The following is a 25373-nucleotide window of genomic DNA, read 5'->3' as shown; positions in this document are numbered from 1 at the left end:
CAACATTGCCTTTACGTTTTGTTACCCCCAGAGGAGTAGGGTCACCTGGTAAGTATAGTTCCTTAAGGGCTGTAGGTGGGGGGTACTCACAGAGGTACATGGGAGTGGCAGGCAGTGTGAAGTTGACCTCTCTCCTGCCTCTTCTCCTTCTACTTGTTCTTGCTTGCTTACTTGGCACCAACTACCCTGGCCTCCCTGCTATTCCTAGAACATAGCTCACTCTCACATGCTCTCCCTTTAGGCCCTTTCTGCTGGCTTTTCCCTCTGCCTGGCATGCTCTTTCCTTCTGTAGCTCCCTCAAGTCTTTGTCCATATGTTACCTTCTCAGTGAAACCTCCTTTCTCTCTACCCGATTTAACCACCCCACACTGTCATTCCTCCCCAGCTCTATCACTTATGACATTTAGAAAAAGTATTATACTTTCTTCCTTACACTAAAATATAAGCTTCATGAGGGCAGAGATTTTGGTCTGTTTTCTTCACTGATATATCTCTAATTTTTTTTTATTGTGCCTGACACATAATAAGTTTCCAGTAAATATTTATTGAAAGAATGAATAAATAGCTTTCCATGTCAATAAATGCATTTTTTGTCTTAAAATTTTAAATCACTGAAGTAAACATATGAGTACATTTTTATCTTAAAAAGTTTACCCAATACTGTTAAAAGAAACACTCCCTTTTGCCCTGCCCCTGAATCTCACTTTCCTGTTAATGATTTGGATGTATTCTTCCTGACCACGTTAAAGGTATCTGCACATATATATGTGTGCCTATAGAAATACGTAGTTTTGTTTTTGTTCAGTTTTATGTAGATATAGGTTATATGTATACATCTATATAAAACCACTATCCAAATCCAAAGCTTATTTCATCACCCCAGCATGAACTTTATGCTTACTAAGCTGTCTTACTCTTTTTAACTTTCATCTTGTGGATGTGCCATTATGTATTGATTGACCCTGAGGTTTCCAGTTTTTTCTTTTCTTTTTCTTTTTCCTTTTTTTTTGATACGAAGTCTCACACTGTCGCCTGGGCTGAAGTGCAGTGGTGCGCTTCACTGCAACCTCCGCCTCCTGGGTTCAAGCGATTCTTCTGCCTCAGCCTCCCGAGTAGCTGGGATTACAGGCGCCCGCCACTAGGCCTGGCTAATCTTTTTGTATTTTTAGTAGAAACTGGGTTTCACCATGTTTTTCAGGCTGGTCTCGAACTCCTGACCTCGTGATCCACCTGCCTCAGCCTCCCAAAGTGCTGGGATTACATGCGTTAGCCACCGCTCCCAGCCTCCAGTTTTTTCTTAATACAGGCATTGCTCAAGCAAACATTTTGGTTCTTGCTACTTTGTACACATGGGGATGTTTCTCTGTGTATGCCCTGAAATGAGGACAGTTTAAACTCTTTCTTTGAAATTGTTGTGCTATTTATTTGCTTGTTGTCTCAGGATATTTTTCTGAAATGTATTGGAAGTGGAACTGGTGGGTTGTAGAGAATGCAAGTTAAAATTTTGATAGAATAAAATTTCTGTCTAAAAGGGCTATATCCATTTGTGCTCCTGAACTGATAATGACGGCTTCCATTTCTGCATGTCTTCAACTATATTCAGTGTTACTAATCTTTTGTTTTTGCCAATCTGGGTGAAAAATAAAATTTTAGCTGTTGAGGTTGAATATGTTTTCATATGATTACCAGTCATTCCCTACAATTATCGTTCATATCTGACCTTTTAAAAAAATGTCCATGTTATTAGGTTTGGTCTTATTTATCTAATAGGTGCTGTTATTATGGCTATTAATATTTTGTCTGCTATATACGCTGGAGATAGTTTTTTTTCTGTAGCTTGTTTTTTAAATTTGTTTATGGTTCTTTTTGCCAGTTGAAAGTTTTAAATGTTTATTTAGTCAAATGTATCCATTTTATGGCTTCCTTGCTTAAGGAAATCTATGCTATTCCAAGGCTATAACCATATTCACGTATGTTTTCTTTTAATTTCTTTGGAATCTTCTTTTTCATGTTTTTCTCTTTTAATTCACTTGGAATTTATTTATGTGGCAGCATAAAGTAAGGTTCTAATTTTTTTTCCTCCCAAAATGGATAGCCAATTCTTTAACACTATTTGTTTGTATCCTTTCACGATTTTATATGGAATGCTCTCTTTATCACAAACTGCACTCTCATAAAAATTGATCTATTTTGTTCAACTTTATTTTACTTTATTGATGTTTGTCTTTTCTTATGCTAATATTACACTATTTTGATTTGAGAAAAAACTTTTTTTGTAGAGATGGAGTCTCACTATGCTGCCCAGGTTGGTCTTGAACTCCCAGCCTCAAGTGATCCTCCTGTCTTGGCCTCCCAAAGTGCTGGGATTACAGGCATGAGCCACTGTGTCTGGCTTAATATTTTGATAGAAGGAACTTGCCTTGTGTCATGTTTTACAAAAATGTAGCTGGATTGTCCATTTTTTTCTCTTTTAGATGCATTTCATTTTATTTTTTGTTTTTTTGGAACACAGTCTTGCTCTATCACCCAGGTTGGAGTGCGGCGGCATGATCTTGGGTCATTACAGCCTCTGCCTCTCAGACTCAAGCAATTCCCAACTTCCTGGCTGGTTGCGTTGTGGCTCATGCCTGTAATCCCAGCACTTTGGGAGTCTGAGGCAAGAGCAGATCAACTCACCTGAGGTCAGGAGTTCGAGACCAGCCTGGCCAACATGGTGAAACCCTGTCTCTACCAAAAATACAAAAAGTAGCCGGGCGTGGTAGCACACACCTGTAATCCCAGTTACTTAGGAGGCTAAGGCACGAGAATTGCTTGAGCCTGGGAGGTGGAGGTTGCAGTAAAACGGGATTGCGCCACTACATTCCAGCCTGGGTAACAGAAGTAGACTGTCTCAAAACAAACAAACAAAAAAATTCTCAGCTTCCTGAGTAGCTGAGATTACAGGCATGTGTCACCACGTTTAGCTAATTTTGGTTCTTTAAATTTTTCGTAGAGATGAGGTCTTACTATATTGCCCAGGCTGGTCTGCAACTCCTGGGCTCAAGCTATCCTCCCGCCTTGCCTTCCCACAGTGCTGGGATTACAGGTGTGAGCCACTATGCCCAGCTTAGGTGCATTCTAAAATTATCTTATCAAGTCAAATACAGTGGCCTATTGGGTCAACCATAGAATCAGAAGAAAAAAAATGCCCTATTGGGATTTGGAGAAGAAAACCATTTCTCTAACACAATTTCCAATGGCCATGTATGGTGCATTGTATGCTTATGCTATATTTTACTTAACAATTTCTCATTGTTGTCCAAAATCTTTAAAAATATTGGCTCCACAGTTTCACTTTCTTTGTTTTCTTTTTTTCCAGTTTAGGTTATTCTTGAGTTTGGGTTTTGTTTAGAACTTTTTCAGTGGTTTTATAAATTTATTAGTACCAGTTTATTCAACTGAGATGGATTTGCCCTGTGTTGGGTTTATAAAATCATGAAAAGGTTTGGCTCAGATTTTTTTTTTTTTCTGATACAGGGTCTTGCCCTGTCACCCAGGCTGGAGTGCAGTGGCGCAAACTTGGCTCACTGCAACCTTTGCCCTGGGTTCAAGCAATTCTCCCACTTCAGCCTCCTGAGTAGGTGGGATTACAAGCATGTGCCACCACACTCAGCTAATTTTTTTTTTTTTTTTTTTTTTTTACTTTTTATAGAGACAGGGTCTTGCCATATTGCTCAGGCTTATCTCGAACTCGTGAGCTCAAGTGATTCGCCACCTCAGCCCCCCAAAGTGCTGGGATTACAGGCGTGAGCCACCGTGCCTGGCCTCAGATTTAATTTAGATGATATGAGTGGCTAAGATTTTTCTCGCAAAATTGAACTAAAACCTTGACTTTATCAGACTTTATTTTTTAATCTCTCTAGTCAGACATGTAGCAGTGGGTTAAAAGAATAAAAATGACATAACAAACAACTTAATGAAACAATAGAAGATTTCTGCCCCTGAGTTATGTTGGCATTTGACAAATGGAAGGACAACGTTTAATTTAGATAGACAAATAAAACATGTAGTTACAGTTGACTATAGTAAGAGTGAAAGGCTGACAGAAAACTACACCTGTTGGGGAATGGGAACAGGAAATATAAGGTGACTCTACCACTGACTGCACTGTCAGGGTCAGAGTTAACTTTGCACATCTGCTGAAAATGGAGCATCTGATTTGCTGAATTGTTGCAATTAGTATATTTAACAACATACTCGAAATTATTGTTGGACTTGTTTCTGTTGAGGGATAAGTGTACAAATTCAAACATTTCAATAGGAATTTTCTTGCTAACTGCCTGGTATTTATTGAATTAAAGTGTTTTGTTTTGTTTTGTTTTTCCAGCCACCGAACATATCAGTGATCTTTAGAACCACCCTGAGGTCCTGTCCTTTCTAAGCCCTTTAAAAGTTACTTATGTCAGACATGTTAAATCATTTGGCTGAGGATACTTCCCACAGAAATTTTTCTTGCATTATTGCAACTTCCCCATGTAATCACTCATCTTAATCAATGTTTATCTTAGCCTTGAAAAGAAAGGGCATTAACATGAAGCCAGGTTACTACTACTAGGCTTAGAGTGTGGACTTGTATGTGTAATATAAAACAAGATGGGAGGGCTGAGGCAGGCGGATCACTTGAGGTCAGGGGTTCGAGACCAGCCTGGCCAACGTGGTCTCTACCACAATACAAAATTAGCCAGGCATGGTAGCTCATGCCTGTAATCCCAGCTACTTGGGAGGCTAAGGCAGGAGAATCACTTCAACCTGGGAGGCAGAGGTTGCAGTGAGCCGAGATTGTGCCACTGCACTCCAGCCTGGGCAACACAGTGATACTGTGTGTAAAAAAACCCCACCAAGATGGGAGGGGAAAATTTTGTCTAACATATTTGTTGTTCAGATGACTTTTAGGTCTTTCAAAAAAACCTGTTAAAATTCCATGGTAGTTTTATTTTATATTGATGTACCACTTAAAAATGAAATAGCTATTCAGTTTGATTTTTCTGCCTGGGTTTAGTTGTTGTTCTTTTTTAGTATTTGTCTTGAAAGCTTATTTTATCCAATTAGCTTTGCCTTTTCAATTTTTATTTATATTTCTTAGAAGTATTTAAAATTTCTCCAAGCTTCAGTATATTTTCTTAGAACCCCCTCCAAATATCTAGGCACCTATTTAGTTCACTAAAGTATTAAATAAGATGAGTAAGATCCAGATCAGTTAATTCATGAGAATTTATTTATTTTTACTTTTATTTATTTATTTTTACTTATTAATTTTTGAGACAGGGTCTGTCTCTGTTGCCCAGGCTAGAATGCAGTGGTGTGATCATTGCTCATGGTAACCTCAGACTCCTGGGCTCAAGAGATCCTTCCGCCTCAGGCTTCCAAAGCACTGGGACTACAGGGGTGAGCCATTGGGCCCAGCCTTATAAGTACTTATTTAAATGAATAACTCTTTCTTTTTTTCCTTTTTTGAGGCAGAGTCTCGCTCTGTCACCCATGCTGGAGTGCAGTGGTACGATCTTGGCTCTCTGCAGCCTCAGCCTCCCAGGCTCAAGCGATTCTCTTCTGAGCCTCCCAAATAGCTGGGATTACAGGTGCCCGCGACCACACTCAGCTAGTGTGTGTGTGTGTGTGTGTGTGTGTGTGTGTGTTTAGTAGAGATGGGGTTTTACCACATTGGCCCGCCACCACACTCAGCTAGTGTGTGTGTGTGTGTGTGTGTGTGTGTGTGTGTGTGTGTGTGTGTGTTTAGTAGAGATGGGGTTTTACCACGTTGGCCAGGCTGTCAAACTCCTGATCTCAAGCAATCCACCTGCCTCGGCCTCTCAAAGTGCTGGGATTACAGGCGTGAGCCACCTCACCAGGCCTTAAATGAGTAACTCTTAGTGTGTTCTGTTCACTACAAGAGGGTGATAATACCAAAATAAATGATAAAATAAATGATGACAGTAAGACAATTTAATATGAACAGGAAATAAAGGAAAAGTGAATTAAATTTTCATATACTAAGCGCCTGGATAGTTTACCGTTTTTTCTTTACTGCATGAAAAGACAGCAGGCTAACAATAAAGAGAGAGCGTGAACAGATGTTCCACAGCAGAAGACTTCATCAGTCTATTTCTTGTGATCCTATTAAGATGATGAACTGATTGCTCATTGGCTAAAATCTAAATGATTGATGTAAGGTTGAAAAAATGTCACAGCCTTAGCTTTCTGCTACGTAAGACTTGCATCTCTCCACTTAATGCCTTTTGGCTTTGAAGCTTCATTATTATTTTTGTACTTTGTGGCTCTCTGCACAAAATACTCTAGCATGTTCCAAGAGCTCATGAACATAAACAGTAGATGACATCTTCAAAGCCTAGTGACCCAACAGATATTTATTTAGCACTGACTTCGTTCTATCAAAACCATGCTGAAGTGTCAAGACTTTATATGTGGAGATTATCCACTAAATTAGAGCCATAGAAATTTGAACCTGTCAACAACCTGCTTAAAACAGTGCCCCAGCACGTAGGCAGTCCTCAGTAAATATTAATTGCTGTTATCCCTTCTCTTCCTGTTCAGTCTTTTATTTGCCACTTATTCTGTTGGTTTGCATGCTCTAGCCACAGCAGCCTTCAGGTCCTTCCCACTGTAGAGCCTTGGTTTATGCTGTTCTTGGTGCCTGGAATAGTCCTCCTTTTCTCCCCCTTTTGCCTAGCTGCTGTATCATTTTCTCAGGGACACTGTCAGTGACCTTAGGTTAGACCTGCCTTTATATTCTTTCTTATCATCTAGTACTTCTACTTGCTAGCAATTTAAATAATTTTTTTATTGTTGGCTTAATTTGTCTCCCTGCAGTTGAAAATAAGCTCCATGAAAGCAGGAACCATATCTCTCTTGATTACTTTACCCCACCCCTACAGTAGTGGTTGGTAAGGAGCTGGTGTTTGATAAGTATATGGGGATGAATAAATTGGTAGGTGGAGTGATACAGTTTGGATGTTTTGGGCTTGGGGTAGAAAAGTAAACTGAGGGAAGAGAGCACATTTAGAAGCCTTAAACATCACTCTCAAGTTTCTTTTCAATTGTTCCCATCTTTGAAAGTGTGGGTTTCGGTGCTTATATTCTGTGATACGATTTGGGATAATTGGCATTTATCTCAAGTGGGATGTCCACAATTTTAATAGTTATCAAAACGTTTTCTACGCTCATTATGAAATGAAAATTTAAAATCTGAAAAAGATCTTTATTTGTTTTATAGATAAAAAATGGACATAATACGGTAGCGTATCAGATTGCATAGCTAGTTATCAGTAGAGCTGGCACTAGAACCTAGGTTTCCTTACCTCCCCACTTTTTTTTTTTTGAGACAGGATTTCACTCTCATTGCCCAGGCTGGAGTGCAGTGGCATGATCTTGGCTCATTGCAGCCTTACCCTCAGCCTCCTGGGCTCAAGCGATTCTCCTGCCTCAGCCACCCAAGTAGCTGGGACTGCAGGCATGCACTACCACACCCAGCTAATTTTCATATATATTTTTTGAGACAGGGTTTTGCTGTGTTGCCCAGGCTGGTCTTTCACTCCTAGGCTCAAGTGATCTGCCCGCCTTGGCCTCCCAAAGTGCTAGGATTACAGGCATGAGCCACGCACCTGGCCATCCCTACCCATTTTAAGCTATTGTCCTTTAGGTAGCTGGTACCTTTTCAGGCAAAAGTGGTATAAGGATGTATTAAAAGCTAAGCTTTTTCTTCATGATTAAAGTTGCTTATGAGAATCATTTACTGGGGGCTCTAATACACACTCAAAACTTTTGAGAAGTATAGAATTGCTTGATCCTGCAGAATATCACTCCCAAAGCTGTGCTGTTAAGTACCCATCCCAATGCTATAGTTTTCTGTATTGTCGCTCTTGCAGTTAGTTCATGCCATGCCTTCCTGTAGCAGCTCTCTTCTCCCTTTCATTTACTCTTTCTAATCTGTTAGGCACATATTAAGATAATATCTTAGATTAATATCTTAGATTATTTTACATGTATATATAAAGCAAGAATAAATAGATTCATCCATACTGCAACGTGGATGAACCTCAAAAACATGATAAGTGAAAGAAAACCAAGGTTATATGAAAGACCACATTTCATATGGTTCCATTTATGTGAAATGTTTGGGAAAGGCAAAATCTGTAGAGACAAAGGAGATGAGTGGTTGCTTGAGCTTAGGGATGGAATAGGAAGGAACTGCAAGTGAGCATTTGGCTTCTTTTCAGGATAATAGAAATATTCTCAAATTCAATTATGATGGTTACACTTTGTACATTTACTAAAAATTATTAATTTGTACCTCAAAATGGGAAATTTTGGTATGTGGCTTATATCCCAATAAAGCTTTTCTTCTTCTTTTTTTTTTTTTGAGACAGTGTCTGGCTGTGTCACCCAGGCTGGAGTGCAGTGGTGCGATCTTGGCTCTGCAACCTCCGTCCCCCAGACTCAAGCCATCCTCCCACCTCAGCCTCCCAAGTAGCTGAAACTACAGGCGTGCGCCACCATACCCAGCTAGTTTTTGTATTTTTAGTACAGGTGAGGTTTTGCCATGTTGCCCAGGCTGGTCCCAAACTCCTGGGCTCAAAGGAATCCTCTCACTTCAGCCTCCCAGAGTGTTGGGATTACAGTCATGAGCCACCGCTTCCAGCCCTAAAGCTGTTTTTTAAAAAAAGAATAAGCAGGTTCAAAGCTTATTTTGGAGGAATTCTCTTTATAATTGTAGGCTAATACAGTTGATATTTATGGATCTGCATAATATTCTAGATAGATGAGATGGAAAATTAGATAAAGTAATACTCTATCCTGAATCATATTCGTTGTGTAAGACAGCATTGAAAGCTAACTCCCCTGTCTCCCTAGGAGACCATTAGGAACTGGAGTTTTGTGTATAGGAATCATGGTGCTAAGTATGGTAATGTAAATTTAAAGGGTAATGATTCATATGCATCTTACTTTGTTGTGAGTTTTAGATTTATTATCAAGATCTCGATAGTGTGCGTTCTCTACACATACAGACGCACATGAGCGCACACATACACATACAGACTCTTCAAAATTAGAAAAGGTATCAATTTTTTCCTCCAGTCCTATCTATTCTGCCAGTATGTTTTTGTCTTATGTCATCTCTCAACCAGTCGAGTGCCCTGTTTGATGAGTGAGTGAGCACACTTGGGCTTCAGGCTGTTTAATGTGTTCTTTTTCATTTTTCAGCACTTTCATTTGGACCCGTGGATACCCATTGAACAGATGCTTGAAACCTGCAAGTAATCTTCAGATCCTAGCAGAACCATAGGCCTTTCCTTTGTTTTGGGAGGATATAGCCTGCCTATATGCTGTGGAAATGAACGGGGAGCAGCAGCTTGATGCAGGTATTGGTTTTATTCTCAGAATTTATTCTCTAGGATGCACAATTATATTACTTGCCTGTGTTATATTGTCTGTTTCTCTACCACTGAACTGGAAGCTCTTTGAAGTCTTAAGTTGTTTTTCATTGCCATCTTCTGTACCTCTCAGAGAACCTGGCACTAGGGGCTACTAATAATGTTTGCTGAAAAAATAAGAAACTGTTATGAACAAGGCCGGGCGCGGTGGCTCATACCTGTAATCATAACACTTTGGGAGGCCGAGGTGGGCAGATCACGAGGTCAGGAGATCGAGACCATCCTGGCTAACACGGTGAAACCCCGTCTCTACTAAACAAAATACAAACAATTAGCTGGGTGTGGTGACGGGTGCCTGTAGTCCCAGCTACTCGGGCAGGAGAATGGTGTGAACCCAGGAGGCAGAGCTTGCAGTGAGCCAGGATCGCGCCACTGCACTCCAGCCTGTGCAACAGAGCGAGACTCCTTCTCAAAAAAAAAAAAAAAAAGAAACTGTTTTGAACAGACTTCTTTTTTAAAATAGCATTAAAATTTTGATGATTACTTTCTAGTTATTTTGAAGTAATTATGCATTCACAGGAGTTTGCAAAGATAGTACTTACTGACATATTTCATGTTCCTTTCACCCAGTTTCTCTCATTAGTTACTATAATATGATATAAAACTGAGGAAATTGATGTTAGTATAAAGAATGTGCAATTCTATGTCATTTTGTCACATGTGTAGATTCCTGGAACCATCCCCTCAGTCAAAATACAGAACTATTCCATCACCACAAAGAGCTCCCACACCTATCCTCCTTCCCCTGACTTTCCCTAATCCCAGGCAACTGTTAATTTGTTCTCCATCTCTGTAATTTTGTCATTTAAAGAATGTTACATAAATAGAATAACACAGTACATGGCTTTTTGAGATGGGCTTTAATAATGCCCTTGACATCCATCCAAGCTCTCGCGTATATTGACAGTTTGTTCCTTTTTATTGTGGAGGAGCAGTCATGAATGTACTGCAGTTTGGTTAACCATTCATCTATTGTAGTACATTTTGGTTGTTTCCAGTTTTTGGCTCTTACCAACACATAAGTTGCTATTAACAATTGTGTATATAATACTTTATTTTTCTGGGGTACATACCCAGCAGCACAATCACTAGATCATATTTAGTAAAGAAAACTGCAAAATTATGCTCCAGAGTGGCTGTGCCATTTTACATTCTCACCAGCAGTATATGAGAGTTCTAGTTTCTCTACATCCTCACTGCTATCTGGTGTTGTCATTACTTTTGTTTAAGCCATTCTGATAGGTGGGTAGTGACAGCTCATCCTGGTGTTAATTTGTACCTCCCTCATGGCCGCCAGTGATATTGAACATCTTTACATGTTCCTACTTGGCATCTGCATATCCTCGTCAGTGAAATGTCTCTTCATGTCTTTGGCTCATTATCAATTGGTTTATTTTTAATTAATAAAGATTGGTTTTTTTGTTGAGGTTTTTCAAAAAACTTTATTGAAATATGTTTTTTGAGATGCAATACACATACCATAAAATCAACCCTTTTAGAGTACATAATTCAGAGGTTTTTAGTCTATTCACAAAGTTTTCCAACCATCACTGCTATCTAATTCCAGAACATTCCATCACAACAAACCATTAGCCATCATTTCCTTTTCCACCCAGACTCTGACATCCATAATCTACTTTCTGTCTCTAGGATTTACCTATTCCAGCTTTCTTTTATTAACATTTGCATGGTATATCTTTTTCATCCTTTTCTTTTCAACATGCCTGTATAATTATATTTGAAATAAGGTTCTTGACACAGCATACACTAATTTTTAAAAATTTTGGCCTTATAGGATGTATGTATACCATTTATACTTAATGTAATTATTGATATGTTTGGATTCAAGTCTGCCTTTTTTGCTTATTTATTTTTTCTGCTTTTGTTTGTTTGTTTCTCTAGAGCAGTGAGATTTCTTTCAGACTGGCTCCTGTGTTCTTTTTTTCCCTCTGCTTTCCTGTGGGTTACTTGAACTTTTTTTTAGAATTCCATTTTGATTTGTAGTGTTTTTGAGTATATCCTCTTGTAGCACTTATTGGTGGTTACTTTAGGTATTATAGTATATATATATATATATAACTTATCACAATCTTCATTTTATTAAAGTGAAGTATAGAAATCTTACCTACTTTTACTTCTCTTTACCCTCTTTTATTTATAATTGCCTTAAATATTTTCTCTACATATTTTGAGAACCACATCAGACATGCTTAACATTTTTGTTTAAACTGTCAAACATATAATTTAGAACACTTGAGAGAAGGAAAATTTATTATATTTTTCAGTATTTTTACTCTTTATGTTGTCATTTATTCTTTTCCTGATTTTCCAAGATTCTCTCTTTTGTCACTTCATTTCTATTTAGAGAATTTTCTTTAGTCTTTTTTTTTTTTTTTTTTTTTTTGAGACTGAGTCTCGCTCTGTCACCCAGGCTGGAGTGCAGTGGCGTGATCTCGGCTCACTGCAAGCTCCGCCTCCTGGGTTCACACCATTCTCCTGCCTCAGCCTCCCAAGTATCTGGGACTACAGGCGCCCACCACCACGCTTGGCTAACTTTTTGTATTTTTAGTAGAGACGGGGTTTCACTGTGTTAGCCAGGATGGTCTCGATCTCCTGACCCTGTGATCCACCTGTCTCGGCCTCCCAAAGTTCTGGGATTACAGGCGTGAGCCACCGCGCCGGCTTTAGTCCTTTTTTTTTTCTTTTGAGACGGGAGTCTTGCTCTGTCGCCCAGGCTGCAGTGCAGTGGCGCCATCTCGGCTCGGCTCACTGCAAGCTTTGCCTCCCGGGTTCACGCCATTCTCCTGCCTCAGCCTCCCGAGTAGCTGGGACTACAGGCGCCCGCCACCACGCCCGGCAAATTTTTTGTATTTTTAGTAGAGACGGGGTTTCACCCTGTTAGCCAGGATGGTCTCGATTTCCTGACCTCGTGATCCGCCCGCCTCGGCCTCCCAAAGTGCTGGAATTACAGGCGTGAGCCACCGCGCCGGCTTTAGTCCTATTTTTTTTTTTTTTTTTTTTTTGAAACGGAGTCTTGCTCTGTCGCTCAGGCTGGAGTGCAGTGGCGGGATCTCGGCTCACTGCAAGCTCCGCCTCCCGGGTTCACGCCATTCTCCTGCCTCAGCCTCCCGAGTAGCTGGGACTACAGGTGCCTGCTACCACGCCCGGCTAATTTTTTGTATTTTTGGTAGAGACGGGGTTTCACCGTGTTAGCCAGGATGGTCGCGATCTCCTGACCTTGTGATCTGCCCGCCTCGGCCTCCCAAAGTGCTAGGATTACAGGCCTGAGCCACCGCACCCGGCCGTTAGTCTTTTTTTTAAAGGAGGTCTAGTAGTGACAGATTGTCTTCATTTCATTTCATTTGAGAATATGTTGATTTCCCCATTCATTGTTGAGGGATATTTTTGCTGGATATGGAATCCTGGGTTGAAAGCTCATTTCTTTCAGCTCTCAGAAAATAATTGTGCTACTTCTTTCTGGCCTCCATGGTTTCTGATGAGAAATCTGCTGTCATTGGACACTCTCCCACCTCCCACCCGCAACGCTTTGCTTTAAAAGAGAGGTTTCTCTGTTGTTAATTTTAAGATTTTTTTTTTTTTTGCCTTTAGTTTTTGGAAGTTTGAGTCTGGTGTATATATTTTTTGGGTTTAAGCTTATCTTATTGTCCCACAGGTCCCTCAGACTCTCTTCATTTTTTTTTTTAATGTTTTCTCTCTGTTGTTTAGATTGGGTTTTTTCTGTTGTTTTGTCTTCAATTTTACTCATTCTTTCTTGTCTGCTTCATTCTGCTGTTGAACTTATCCATAGAGGGTTTTTTTTTAATTAATTGGGTTATTTTCAGCTCTAAAATTTTATTTTTGAGCTGGAGAAGGAAGAGGGAAGGGAATAGTCTCAACCTAAAATGTCGCATTTTGCTCTTCTAACTGAGGTTTAGTGGCTTATCTTGAATTGATGCTTTTTAGCTTGTTCTCTGCCTTTGGTTAATTTTAGGACTTTGAAATGATGATTTTCATTGGTTAGCCAGTCCTTTGGTTCTTTTATGGGAGAGTGGGTTCACTGCAATAATCATTCTGCCATTTCAGAAGTTGATTTTTCCTTTGTGTTAAATATTATTAACTCATGTATTTAAGTACGTATATGTATATGTATACATTTGATGAGTTTGAATGTATTGCTGTCATCATTCATTTGATGATCAAATTCTAGAGCAGCAAGAGTTGTTTCAGACTGGTTCCTGTGTTCTTCTGATGTGACGTCATGTACCTTTGATACAGTTAGTCCTTGCTTTCTGGACCAGTAAGATTCCCAAGTACCTCCTGAACATATCCTGCCCCCCAAACTTGCAATCCGCTGTTTCTCTGAGGAGCTTTTTTTTTCTTTAAAGTAGGTATGATATTTAGAGACCACAATCTGGGTGCTGGAGTGCTAATTTGATACTAGGTTGTCATTTATTCTAGGCCTTACTTACAGACATAGCTAGAAAATACACATTTAAAATTATTTTCTATTTTTTAGAGACAAAATCTTGCTTTGTCACCCAGGGTGGAGTACAGTGGCATGATCATGGCTCACTGCAGCCTCAAACTCCTAAGTTCAGGTGATCTTCCCACCTCAGCCTCCCAAGTAGCTGGGAACACAGGCACATGCCATCATCCCCAGCAATTTTTTAATTTTTGTAGAGATGGGGTCTTGCTATGTTATGTTGCCCAGGCTGGTTTCAAACTCCTGGCTTCAAGTGATCTTCCTGCCTCAGCCTCCCAAATTGCTGGGATTTACAGGTGTGAGCCACCATGCCCAGCCATGAAAATACACATCTTTTGAAAAGTAAAGAAAATAATGGTTTTACATTGATACTTACAATGTAAATTTAAAAGTACAGGGTTTTAGCTGGGCACAGTGGCATGCACTTGTAGTCCTGCTACTTGGGAGGCTGAGGTGGCTTGAGCCTGGGAATTCAAGGCCAGCTGGGGCAATATAGGGAAACTCTATCTCAAAAAAACAAAACAAACAAACAAAAATAAAACAGGGTTACAAAGTTTTTTCTTCTTTGATTTTATGCTTGTATCTCTTCCCTTTTAGAAATGTCTTGTTTGCTAATGATGGTAATATTATTCTTTGTTTTTATCCTATAGAAGTCCTCTAATTATTTTAAAATAATAATACCAACATTTTAGATATCAACCACAGTGTGCAGTTTAAGATTTCTTTATAGTTTTTGCTTTTAAATATATTCCACTGGTGTTTATAGTCAGAGTATTGTATTTTAATATGGCATAGGCCAGACCCGGTGGCTCACGCCTGTAATCCAGCACTTTGGGAGGCAAAGGCAGGAGGATTGCTTGAGCCCAGGGGTTCAAGACCAGTCTGGGCAACATAGGGAGACCCTGTCTCTACCAAAAAGAAAAAAAAAAATTAGCCAGGTGCAGTGGCATGTACCTGTAGTCCCAGCTACTTGGGAGTCTGAGGTGGGAAGATTGCTTGAGCCAGGGTGGTTGAGGCTTCAGAGAGCTTTTATTGCACCACAGCACTCCAGCCTGGGTGACAGAGCAAGACCCTGTCTCAAAAACAAATAAAAATAAATAACATTACTTAAAGGAATCCTGTTTTCTTGTGGTTTTCCCACCAACAGTTAGCTCATGTGTTTCAGTTTATTTGAAATTTATAGAATTTTTTTAATTTCAATTTAATTGTTTCTAAATTGTATAATGAGCCTGCATATTTCTAAAGTCAAAATTGGCCGGGCGGTGGGTCATGCCTGTAATCCCAGCACTTTGGAAGGGCGAGGCGGGCGGACCACCTGAGGTCAGGGATTTGAGACCAGCCTGGCCAACATGGTAAAACCCCATCTCTACTAAAAATACAAAAAATCAGCTGGGCATGGTGGTATGCGCCTGTAATCCCAGCTGCTAGGAAGGCTGAGGCAAGAGAACCTCTTGTACCCAGGAGGTGGAGGTTGCAGTGAGCCGAGATCGCACCACCACATTCCAGCCTGGGTGACAGAGTGAAACTCCATCTCAAAAATAAAATAAAATAAAATAAAATAAAATAACTTCAACCTGATATTACTAATTCTTTCTCTTTTTCCATATATATAGCCAGTTTTATTACTTTTTAATTTATTCTCCTGTTGTTCATTTTTAAAAATATAAACTAATATATGTGAGTGTATATACATATATCCTCATACTCACATCTCCCTCTCCTTTTTTTTTTTTTTTTGAGACAGGGAGCCTTGCTCTGTCACCCAGGCTGTAGTGCAGTGGCACAACCTCGGCTCACTGCAACCCCTGCCTCTGGGTTCAAACGATTCTCATGCCTTAGCCTCCTGAGTAGCTGGGATTACAGGCACGTGCCACCATGCACCTGGCTAATTTTTGTATTTTTAGTAGAGATGGGGTTTCATCATGTTGGCCAGGCTCCTCTCAAACTCCTGGCCTCATGTGATCCACCCACCTCGGCCTCCCAAAGTGCTAGTATTATAGGCATGAGCCACTGCGCCTGGCCTCTCTCCCATCTTATACAAAAAATAGGGATACAAAAAAAAATACTGTTTGGTAGTGTGGTTACTCTTAACAGTATATTTTGGAGATTATTCCACATCAGTATATAGAGATTGTTCTCATTGCTTTACAGCAACCTGTACTGAATACATATACCATATTTATTCAACCATTTCCTTATTGATGGACGTCAGGGTTATTTCCAGTCTTGGTATTACAAATAGTGCTACAATGAATGGCTTTGTACAAATGTCTTTTTGTATTTTTGCCAGCATATCTTTGGGATAGATTCCTAGAAGTGGGATTGCTGGATCAAAAGGTAAATACATATGTAATTTTGTTGGATATTGCCAAGTTTTCTTCCACAGAGGTTGTGTCATTATGCTTTACCTGTTTACAGCCTCACCATTGAGGCTTGTCACACTTTGGAATTCTTTTCAATCTGATATCTCTGTCGTTTTAATTTGCATTTCTCTTAAAACAAAATTTGCACATTTTCATATATTTAAGGATTATGCATTTATTTCTTTAATAAACTCTCATATATCTTGCTCATCATCTCATCACATCATTAGTCTTGTTTCTTCTCAGCATTGTGTGAGAGATTTTAGTTGAGTGATTCATCATTTTAATTGTTACTTATTTTTTATTTTTAAATTAACATGCTATTTAAGGACCTAGAGTCCTTGCTAAGGGCCACGAATGCCCAGCCTTGTTAAGTTTTAGTAATGTAAATTGACTTTCTGCTGGCCTGTACTTTCAAGTTGCCCTCAAAGCTGTCTTTATTATTGGCTTGTATTTCTAATGAAAACATTTCAAATACATTAAAACTATGGAAAAGACTACAACAAACAATCATGTGCCTAGCATAAATATTTAATAAATGTTAATGTTCAATATGTTTTTAATTTTTTATTGTGGTAAAATGTCCATAATGTAAAATTTACCACTTTCACCTTTTTTAAAGCGGTGGGGTCTTGCAGCATTGCCCAGGCTGGAGTGCAGTGGCTATTCACAGGCACAATCATGTACACTACAGTCTTGAACTCCTGGGATCAAGCGGTTCTCTTGCTTCAGCCCCCTGAGTAGCTGGGATTACAGGCCGTTTTAACAATTTTTAAGTGTATAGTTTATTGGCATTAAGTACATTCACATTGTTGGGCAGTAATCACTGCCATCCATCTCCTTATCTTTCCAAATGGAAAGGTATACCTGTTCAACAGTAACTCCCCATTCCCCAGTTTCCCTAGCCCCTAGCACCCACCATTTAATTTTCTGTTTCTATGAATTTGACTACTGTAGGTATCCATTTGTCTTTTGTGACGGGCTTATTTCTCTTAGCATAATGTCTTCATTGTTTATCAATGTTGTAGTATGTGTCAGAACTTTATTTTTGGGAGGATGGGGTCTCTAACAGCCCAGGCTGGAGTGCAGTGATGTGATCACTGCTCACTGTAGCCCCAACCTTGCAAGTGATCCTCCCACCTCAGCCTCTCAAGTAGCTGGGACTACAGCCACTCACCACCATGCTCAGCTTACTTTTAAAAATATTTTTGTAGACACGAGATTTCCCTCTGTTGCTCAGGCTGGTCTCAAACTCCTGGGCTTAAGCTGTCCTCTGCCTTGGCTTCCCAAAGTGTTGGGATTACAGGCATGAGCCACCGCACCCGGCCAGAATTTCCTTTTTTTAAAAGGCTAAATAATATTCCATTGTATGTATATACCACATTCATTTTGTTATCCATTCGTCTGTTGATGGACACTTGGGTTGCCTCTGCCTTTTGGTTATTGTGAATATTGCTGCTATGAACATTTGTGTACAAATACATGTTTGAGTCCCTCTTTTTAATTCTTTTTGGGTATATACACAGACATGCATAGATAGATAGAGAGATAGATAGATAGATAGATCATATGATAATTAAAAATATTTTGAGGAAGTACTGTACAGTTTTCTATAGTGGCTGTACCATTTTACATTCCCACCAGAAATATACAACCATTCTTAATTCTCCATATCCTCACCAACACTTATTATTTTTTGTCTTTTTGTTTATAGTTATTCTAATATGTGTGAAATGGCATTTCATTGTAGTTTTGATTTGCATTTCCCTAATGATTAGTAATGTTGAACATCTTTTCATGCATTTTCATTTTTTAAAAGAAGTGAAACATAATACAGTTTAAGCCTCTTTTGTACTTCCCTTCTAATCTGTTTCCTTCTCTTTATCCCCAAAGGTAACTTTGTTGAAGTTGATACGTATTCTTTTCATCCTTTTCTTTACACTCTTATATTAATATGCATGTATTCATAAACATTACACTGCAAAGTTTTGTTTTGAAACCTAGCTGTGCTTTTCATTCTGCACTTGCCTTTTCTGCTTGATGTGTGTTTTTGAGACTTATCTGTGTCAACGCTAGCATTCATTTCAACTGCTGTGTAGTAGTATTCCATTGAAGGGTTGCCATAACTTATCTATTCTACTTACTGCTTCCAGTTTGTTGATATTACAAATGCTGCTGTGATGAACATCCTTATATTTACCTCCTTGTGGTCATGTGGAGTATGGTTTCCCCTAGGGTGTACTCATTCAGCAGTTTATTGAGAGTCTTCTATATAACAAGCATTGTTCTGAAGGAATACGTCAATGAACAACAACAACAACAACAACAACAAAACAACCATCCCTGCTCTTAGGGAGTTTATGTGAAGTGAGATTATTGGATTATAGAGTATTTGAGTCTTGGCTCACTTAACAAGAGTATTGTAAGAATCTAGGTGGCAAATTCCTGACTTTATGGAGTTTATGATCTAACAGGTATATTGTCAATAGGAATGAATGCCATAAAGAAAAGGGAAGCAGAGCCTAAAGATGGATACTGTTGCCTTTCTGAAGACGAACATTTGAGTAGAGACTTGAATGAAATGGAGCATGAAGGACACTGGGAGATGATTCTTTGAGTTGAGGGATAGCAAATGTAGAGGGTTTGTAGAAAGAGTATGATTAAAGAATGGCAGGAACCTCATTGTCACCCGAGTGTGGTGAGCCTGGAGAGTCTGGCTGGGGATAAAGTGGTAGGGTAGGCAGCCAGGGATCAGGTCATGTACGGCCTTTGTAGTGTCCCACAGATTTTAGATTTTAAGTGTAATTGAAAGGTGGAAGATATTGTGGTTAGACCTTGGACTAGAGATAGCCAGTAGATATGGTGGGAAGTGATTCGATTTGAAATATGTTTTTTGTTTGTTTTTAATTTCCGGGATACATGTGCAGGATGTGCAGGTTTGTTACATGGGTAAACATGTGCCATGGTGATTTGCTGCACCTATCAACTCATCACCTAGGTATTAAGCCCAGTATACATTAACTGTTTTTCCTGATGCTCTCCCTCCCCCGTCCCCCTTGACAGGCCCCAATGTATGCTTTTCCCCCCGATGTGTCCATGTTTTCACATTGTTCAGCTCCCACTTATAAGTGAGAACATGTAGGGTTTGCTTTTCTGTTGCTGTGTTAGTTTGCTGAAGATAATGGGTTCCAGCTCCATCCATGTCCCTGCAAAGGACATTATCTCGTTCCTTTTTATGGCTGCATAGTATTCCATGGTGTATATGTACCAGGTTTTCTTTATCCAGTCTATTGTTGATGGGCATTTGGGTTGATTCCATGTCTTTGCTATTGAGAATAGTACTGCCGTGAACATACATGTGCATGTATCTTCATAATAGAATGATTTATATTCCTTTGGGTAGATACCCAGTAATGGGATTGCTGGGTCAAATGGTATTTCTGGTTCCAGGTCTTTGAGGAATTGGCACACTGTCTTCCACAATGGCTGAACTAATTTACATTCCCACCAACAGTGTAAAAGTGTTCCTATTTCTCTGCAGCCTCAACAGCATCTGTTGTTTCTTGACTTTTTAATTTAATTTATTTTTTTTGAGACAGAGTCTCACTCTGTCACCCAGGCTGGAGTGCAGTGGTGTGATCTCTGCTCACTGCCACCTCCGCCTCCCAGGTTCAAGAGATTCTCCTGCCTCAGCCTCCTGAGTAGATGGGATTACAGGCACACGCCACCACGCCTGGCTAATTTTTGTATTTTTAGTAGAGATGGGGTTTCACCATGTTAGCCAGGCTGGTCTTGAATTCCTGACCTCAAGTGGTCCGCCTGCCGCGGCCTCCCAAAGTGCTGGGATTACAGGCATGAGCCACCCTGCCCAGCCTGTTTCTTGGCTTTTTAATAATCATCATTCTGACTGGCGTGAGATGGTATCTCATTGTGGTTTTGATTTGCATTTCTCTAATCATCAGTGATGTTGAGCTTTTTTTTATGTTTGTTGCCCACATAAATGTCTTCTTTTGTAAGGTGTCTGTTCATGTCCTTTGTCCGCTTTTTAATGGGGTTGTTGGGTTTTTTCTTGTAAATTTGTTTAAGTTCCTTGTAGATTCTGGGTATTATACCTTTGTCAGATGGAGAGATTACAGAAATGTTCTCCCATTCTTTAGGTTGTCTGTTCGCTCTGGTGATTGTTTCTTTTGCTATGCAGAAGCTCTTTAGTTTAATTAGATCCCGTTTGTCAATTTTTGCTTTTGTTGCAATTGCTTTTGACGTTTTTGTCATGAAATCTTTGCTCATGCCTATGCCTTGAATGTTAGTGCCTAGATTTTCTTCTAGGGTTTGTATAATTTTGGGTTTTACATTTAAGTCTTTAATGCATCTTGAGTTAATTTTTGTATTAGGTGTAAGGAAGGAATCCCAGTTTCAATTTTCTGCTTATGGCTTAGTCAGTTCTCCCAGCACCATTTATTAAATAGGGAATCCTTTCCTCAGTGCTTGTTTTTGTCAGGTTTGTTGAAAATCAGATGGTTGTAGATGTGCAATCTTATTTCTGAGTTCTCTATTCTGTTCCATTGGTCTGGATGTCTGTTTTTGTACAAGTATCATGCTGTTTTGAGGCTTGTAGTATAGTTTGAAGTCAGGTAGGGCTATGCCTTCACCTTTGTTCTTTTTGCTTAGGATTGTCTTGGCTATACAGGCTCTTTTTTGGTTTCCTGTGAAATTTGTTTCTAATTCTGTGAAGAATGTCAGTGGTAGTTTAATGGGAATAGTATTGAATCTATAAATTACTTTGGGTAGTATGACCATTTTCATGATATTTTGATTCTTTCTGTCTGTGAGCATGGAATGTTTTTCCATTTGTTTGTGTCCTCTCTCATTTCCTCGAGCAGTGGTTTGTAGTTCTCCTTGAAGGGGTCTTTCACTTCCCTTGTTAACTGTATTCTTAGGTATTTTATTCTCTGTAGCAATTGTGAATGGAAGTTCATTCATGATTTGGCTTTCTGCTTGTCTGTTGTTGGCGTATAGGAATGCTTGTGAGTTTTGCACATTGATTTTGTATCGTGAGATTTTTGCGGAAGTTACTTCTCAGCTTAAGAAGCTTTTGGGCTGAAGCGATGGGGTTTTCTAGATATAGGATCATGTCACCTGCAAACAGACAGTTTGACTTCCTCTCTTCCTATTTGAATACCCTTTATCACTCTCTCTTGCCTGATTGCCCCAGTGAGAACTTCCAATACTATGTTTAATAGGAGTGGTGATAGAGGGCATCCTTGTCTTGTGCTAGTTTTCAAGGGGAATGCCTCCAGCTTTTGCCCATTCAGTATGATATTGGCTGTGGGTTTGTCATAAATGGCTCTTATTATTTTGAGATATGTTCCATCAATACCTAGTTTATTGAGAGTTTTTATTTTATTTTATTTATTGATTTTTTGAGATGGAATCTCGCTCTGTCGCCCAGCCTGGAGTGCAGTGGCGCAACCTCGGCTCACGGCAACCTCCACCTCCCCGGTTCAAGTGATTCTTCTCTCTCAGCCTCCTGAGTAGCTGGGACTATAAGCGCACGCCACCACACCCGGCTAATTTTTTTGTATTTTTGGTAGAGATGGGATTTCACCATGTTGGCCAGGCTGGTCTCAAACTCCTGACCTTGTCGTCCACCAGCCTCGGCCTTCCAAAGTGCTGGGATTACAGACGTGAGCCACTGCACCCAGCCTATTGTATTTATTTATTTTTGAGACAGTGCCTCGCTCCATCACCAGGCTGGAGTGCAGTGGCGTGATCTCAGCTCACTGCAACCTCTGCTTCCCAGGTTCAAGCAATTCTCCTGCCTCAGCCTCCCGAGTAGCTGGGACTACAGGTGCGTGCCGCCACACCCAGCTAATTTTTGTATTTTTAGTAGAGACGGGGTTTCACCACATTGGCCAGGATGGTCTCCATCTCTTGACCTCGTGATCTGCCTGCCGCGGTCTCCCACAGTGCTGGGATTACAGGCGTGAGCTACCACGCCCAGCCTACTGAGAGTTTTTAACATGAAGGGATGTTGAATTTTTTCAAAGGCTTTTCTGTGTCTTTTGAGATAATCATGTGGTTTTTATCTTTAGTTCTGTTTATGTGATGAACTACGTTTATTGATTTGCGTCTGTTGAACCAGCCTTGCATTTCAGGGATGAAGCCTACGTAATTGTGGTAGATAAGCTTTCTGATGTGCTTCTGCATTCTGTTTGCCAGTATTTTATTGAGGATTTTTGCATTGATGTTCATCAGGAATATTGGCCTGAAGTTTTATTTTTTGTTGTTGTTTCTCTGACAGGTTTTGGTATCAGGATGATGCTGGCCTCATAAAGTGAGTTAGGGAGGAGTGCCTCATTTTCAGTTTTTTGGAATAGTTTTAGAAGAAATGATACCAACTCTTCTTTGTATCTCTGGTAGAAATGTGCTGTGAATCCATCTGTCCTGAGCTTTTTTTGGTTGGTAGGCTGTTCATTACTGCCTCAATTTGAGAACTCATTATTGGTCTATTCAGGGATTCAACTTCTTCCTGGTTCAGTCTTGGGAGGGTGTATGTGTCCAGGAATTTATCCATTTCTTGTAAATTTTCTAGTTTATTTGCATAGAAGTATTTATAGTATTCTCTGATGGTTGTTTGTATTTCTGTGGGATTGGTGGTGATATCTCCTTTATCATTTTTTATTGTGTCCATGTGATTTTTCTCTTTTTTCTTCTTTATTAGTCTAGTTAGTGTTCTATTTTATTATTTATTTATTTATTTATTTATTTTTGAGATAGAGTCTCGCTCCGTCACCCAGGCTGGAGTGCACTGGCACGATCTCGGCTCACTGCAACCTCTGCCTCCTGGGTTCAAGCAGTTCTCCTGACTCAGTCTCCTGAGTAGCTGGGATTACAGGCATGTGCCACCATGCCTGGCTAATTTTTTTATTTTTAGTAGAGACGGGGTTTCACCATGTTGGCCAGGCTGGTCTTGAACTCTTGACCTCAAGTGATCTGCCCACCTCAGCCTCCCAAAGTGCTGGGATTACAGGTATTTTATTAATTTTTTCAAAAAACCAGTGCCTGTATTTGTTTATTTTTTTGAAGGGTTTTTCGTGTCTCTATCTCCTTCAGTTCTATTCTGATCTTGATTATTTCTGGTCTCCTGCTAGCTTTGGGGTTTGTTTGCTCTTGGTTCTCTAGTTGATTTAGTCGTGACGTTAGGAGATCTTTCTAGCTTTTGGATATATTTTGAAGATAGTACCTACAGAATTCTTCTATGGATTGGATATAAGGTATGGAGAAAAAGGGAGGGGGGCAAGGATAATGACACTTTTTTTTTTTTATTAAGGTAAAATATTTACTAGGAGTATCTTTCACTCTGAGAGTACTAAGAAAGGATCAAGTTGAAAATTTAAGTTTGAAATGCTTATTAAGTGTCTTCAATGTTTGACATTAGAATACTAAATTTCAGTCCAAAGTGATAGTAATGGTTTATACTCCTACCAGTTTTATGTGATCCATTTGGGTGAACTCTAGATTTGGGTGCCTCTTCAGCAAGAGATAGCATGTCAAACTGCTGTTCTGTGAAGATTCGTTGACAATCAGTGCACTAAGGGCACCTATCATTTAAAAAACAAAAACAAAACAAAACAAAACCCCACTTAATTCTTTTGTGCAAAATCAGTTGTGAAGTAAATTCTGTAAAGTTAGGTTTATTAAGTTTATATTTTTATACCTTGAGTTTTCTTTAATTGGGATTCACCTGTTTTTGTTTTATTTTTAATTCTAGATGCCGGCTCTGGTATGGAAGAGGTAGAATTAAGCTGGGAAGATTATCTAGAAGAAACAGGGTCCACAGCAGTTCCCTATGGGTCTTTTAAACATGTAAGCAATAACTATATTTGCCTTACTGGTGTTATATCCCTTTATTTCGAATCTCTGTATTATCATTAGAGAATTTAAAGTTATTTTAATTTGTGGTACTTGAAGTAATTTAAGAGCTTTTTCTTTCCTCCTGCCACCCTTAGTAAGAACACTTGCCATATTCTTTATTTTTTTATTTTTTTATTTTTTTTTGAGATGGAGTCTCGCTTTGTCGCCCAGGCTGGAGTGCAGTGGCACGATCTTGGCTCACTGCAAGCTCCGCCTCCCGGGTTCACGCCATTCTCCTGCCTCAGCCTCCCGAGTAGCTGGGACTACAGGCGCCTGCCACCACGCCCGGCTATTTTTTGTACTTTTAGTAGAGATGGGGTTTCACCATTGCCAGGATGGTCTCGATCTCCTGACCGCGTGATCCTCCCACCTCAGCCTCCCAAAGTGCTGGGATTACAGGCATGAGCCACTGTGCCTGGTCACACTTGCCATATTCTAAAATCCTTTTTGGTTTTGTGTATTTTCTGCTACTCAATGCATGACTTATCTTTTTGACCATTTATGAATATTCCTTTACTTTTGTCAAAAAACCTTGTCATAAATTGAAAAAAATTATTGTACTTTGTTACATTTACTTTGTTGCATTCATTGAAAGTAATTTCAATAGCATTATTTGCTGTCACTCTTACTGAGCAGAACATAAGTATGACATGCATATTTACATGTCATATTAGTGGCCTGTGCAGCCTGGTTTTATGCCCTAACAACCCAGTTTAATGCCTTGTCAATGACAACATATTTGCCCTGTGTAATGACTTTAGAATGTAAGAAAGTACCCCAAATTTTGTTTATAATTTATATCTAGACCTAGGTTTTTTTTTTGGTGAGGGGGGTAGGGGGTCAGTGTCTCACTCCATCGCCCATCATAGCTCACTGCAGCCTCAACCCCCTGGGCTCAGGTGACCCTCCCACCTCAGCCTCTTAAGTAACTGGGACTACAGGTGTACACCACCACACCCAGCTAATTTTTAGTAGAGATGGTGTTTCACCATGTCGGCCAGTCTTAAACTCCTGGGCTTAAACAATCTTCCTGCCTTGGCCTCCCAGAGTGCTGGGATTACAGGCGTGAGCTACTGTGCCCATCCTAGACCTAGTTTTTAACCTGTTTACTCAAACTCCCTCTTAAAA

The 25373-nt window shown here is 39.7% G+C and overlaps 1 protein-coding gene across 1 annotated transcript in view; it reads left to right on the top strand.

The window, feature by feature from the left end:
• The window catches only part of SFMBT1 (Scm like with four mbt domains 1), a 142502-nt gene that overhangs the window by 67560 nt on the left and 49569 nt on the right, over positions 1-25373 (top strand). The window contains exons 2-3 of the mRNA NM_016329.4: positions 9256-9413; positions 24103-24197. Of these exons, the coding sequence (NP_057413.2) occupies positions 9386-9413; positions 24103-24197 (123 nt within the window). The 5' untranslated portion in view covers positions 9256-9385. The remainder of the gene's footprint in view (positions 1-9255; positions 9414-24102; positions 24198-25373) is intronic.

The sequence above is a fragment of the Homo sapiens genome, chromosome 3 (assembly GCF_000001405.40).
Source record: "Homo sapiens chromosome 3, GRCh38.p14 Primary Assembly".
Taxonomy (NCBI): domain Eukaryota; kingdom Metazoa; phylum Chordata; class Mammalia; order Primates; family Hominidae; genus Homo; species Homo sapiens.
Note: the sequence above shows the minus strand (reverse complement) of the source record. Positions and strands in the feature narration are given on the sequence as shown.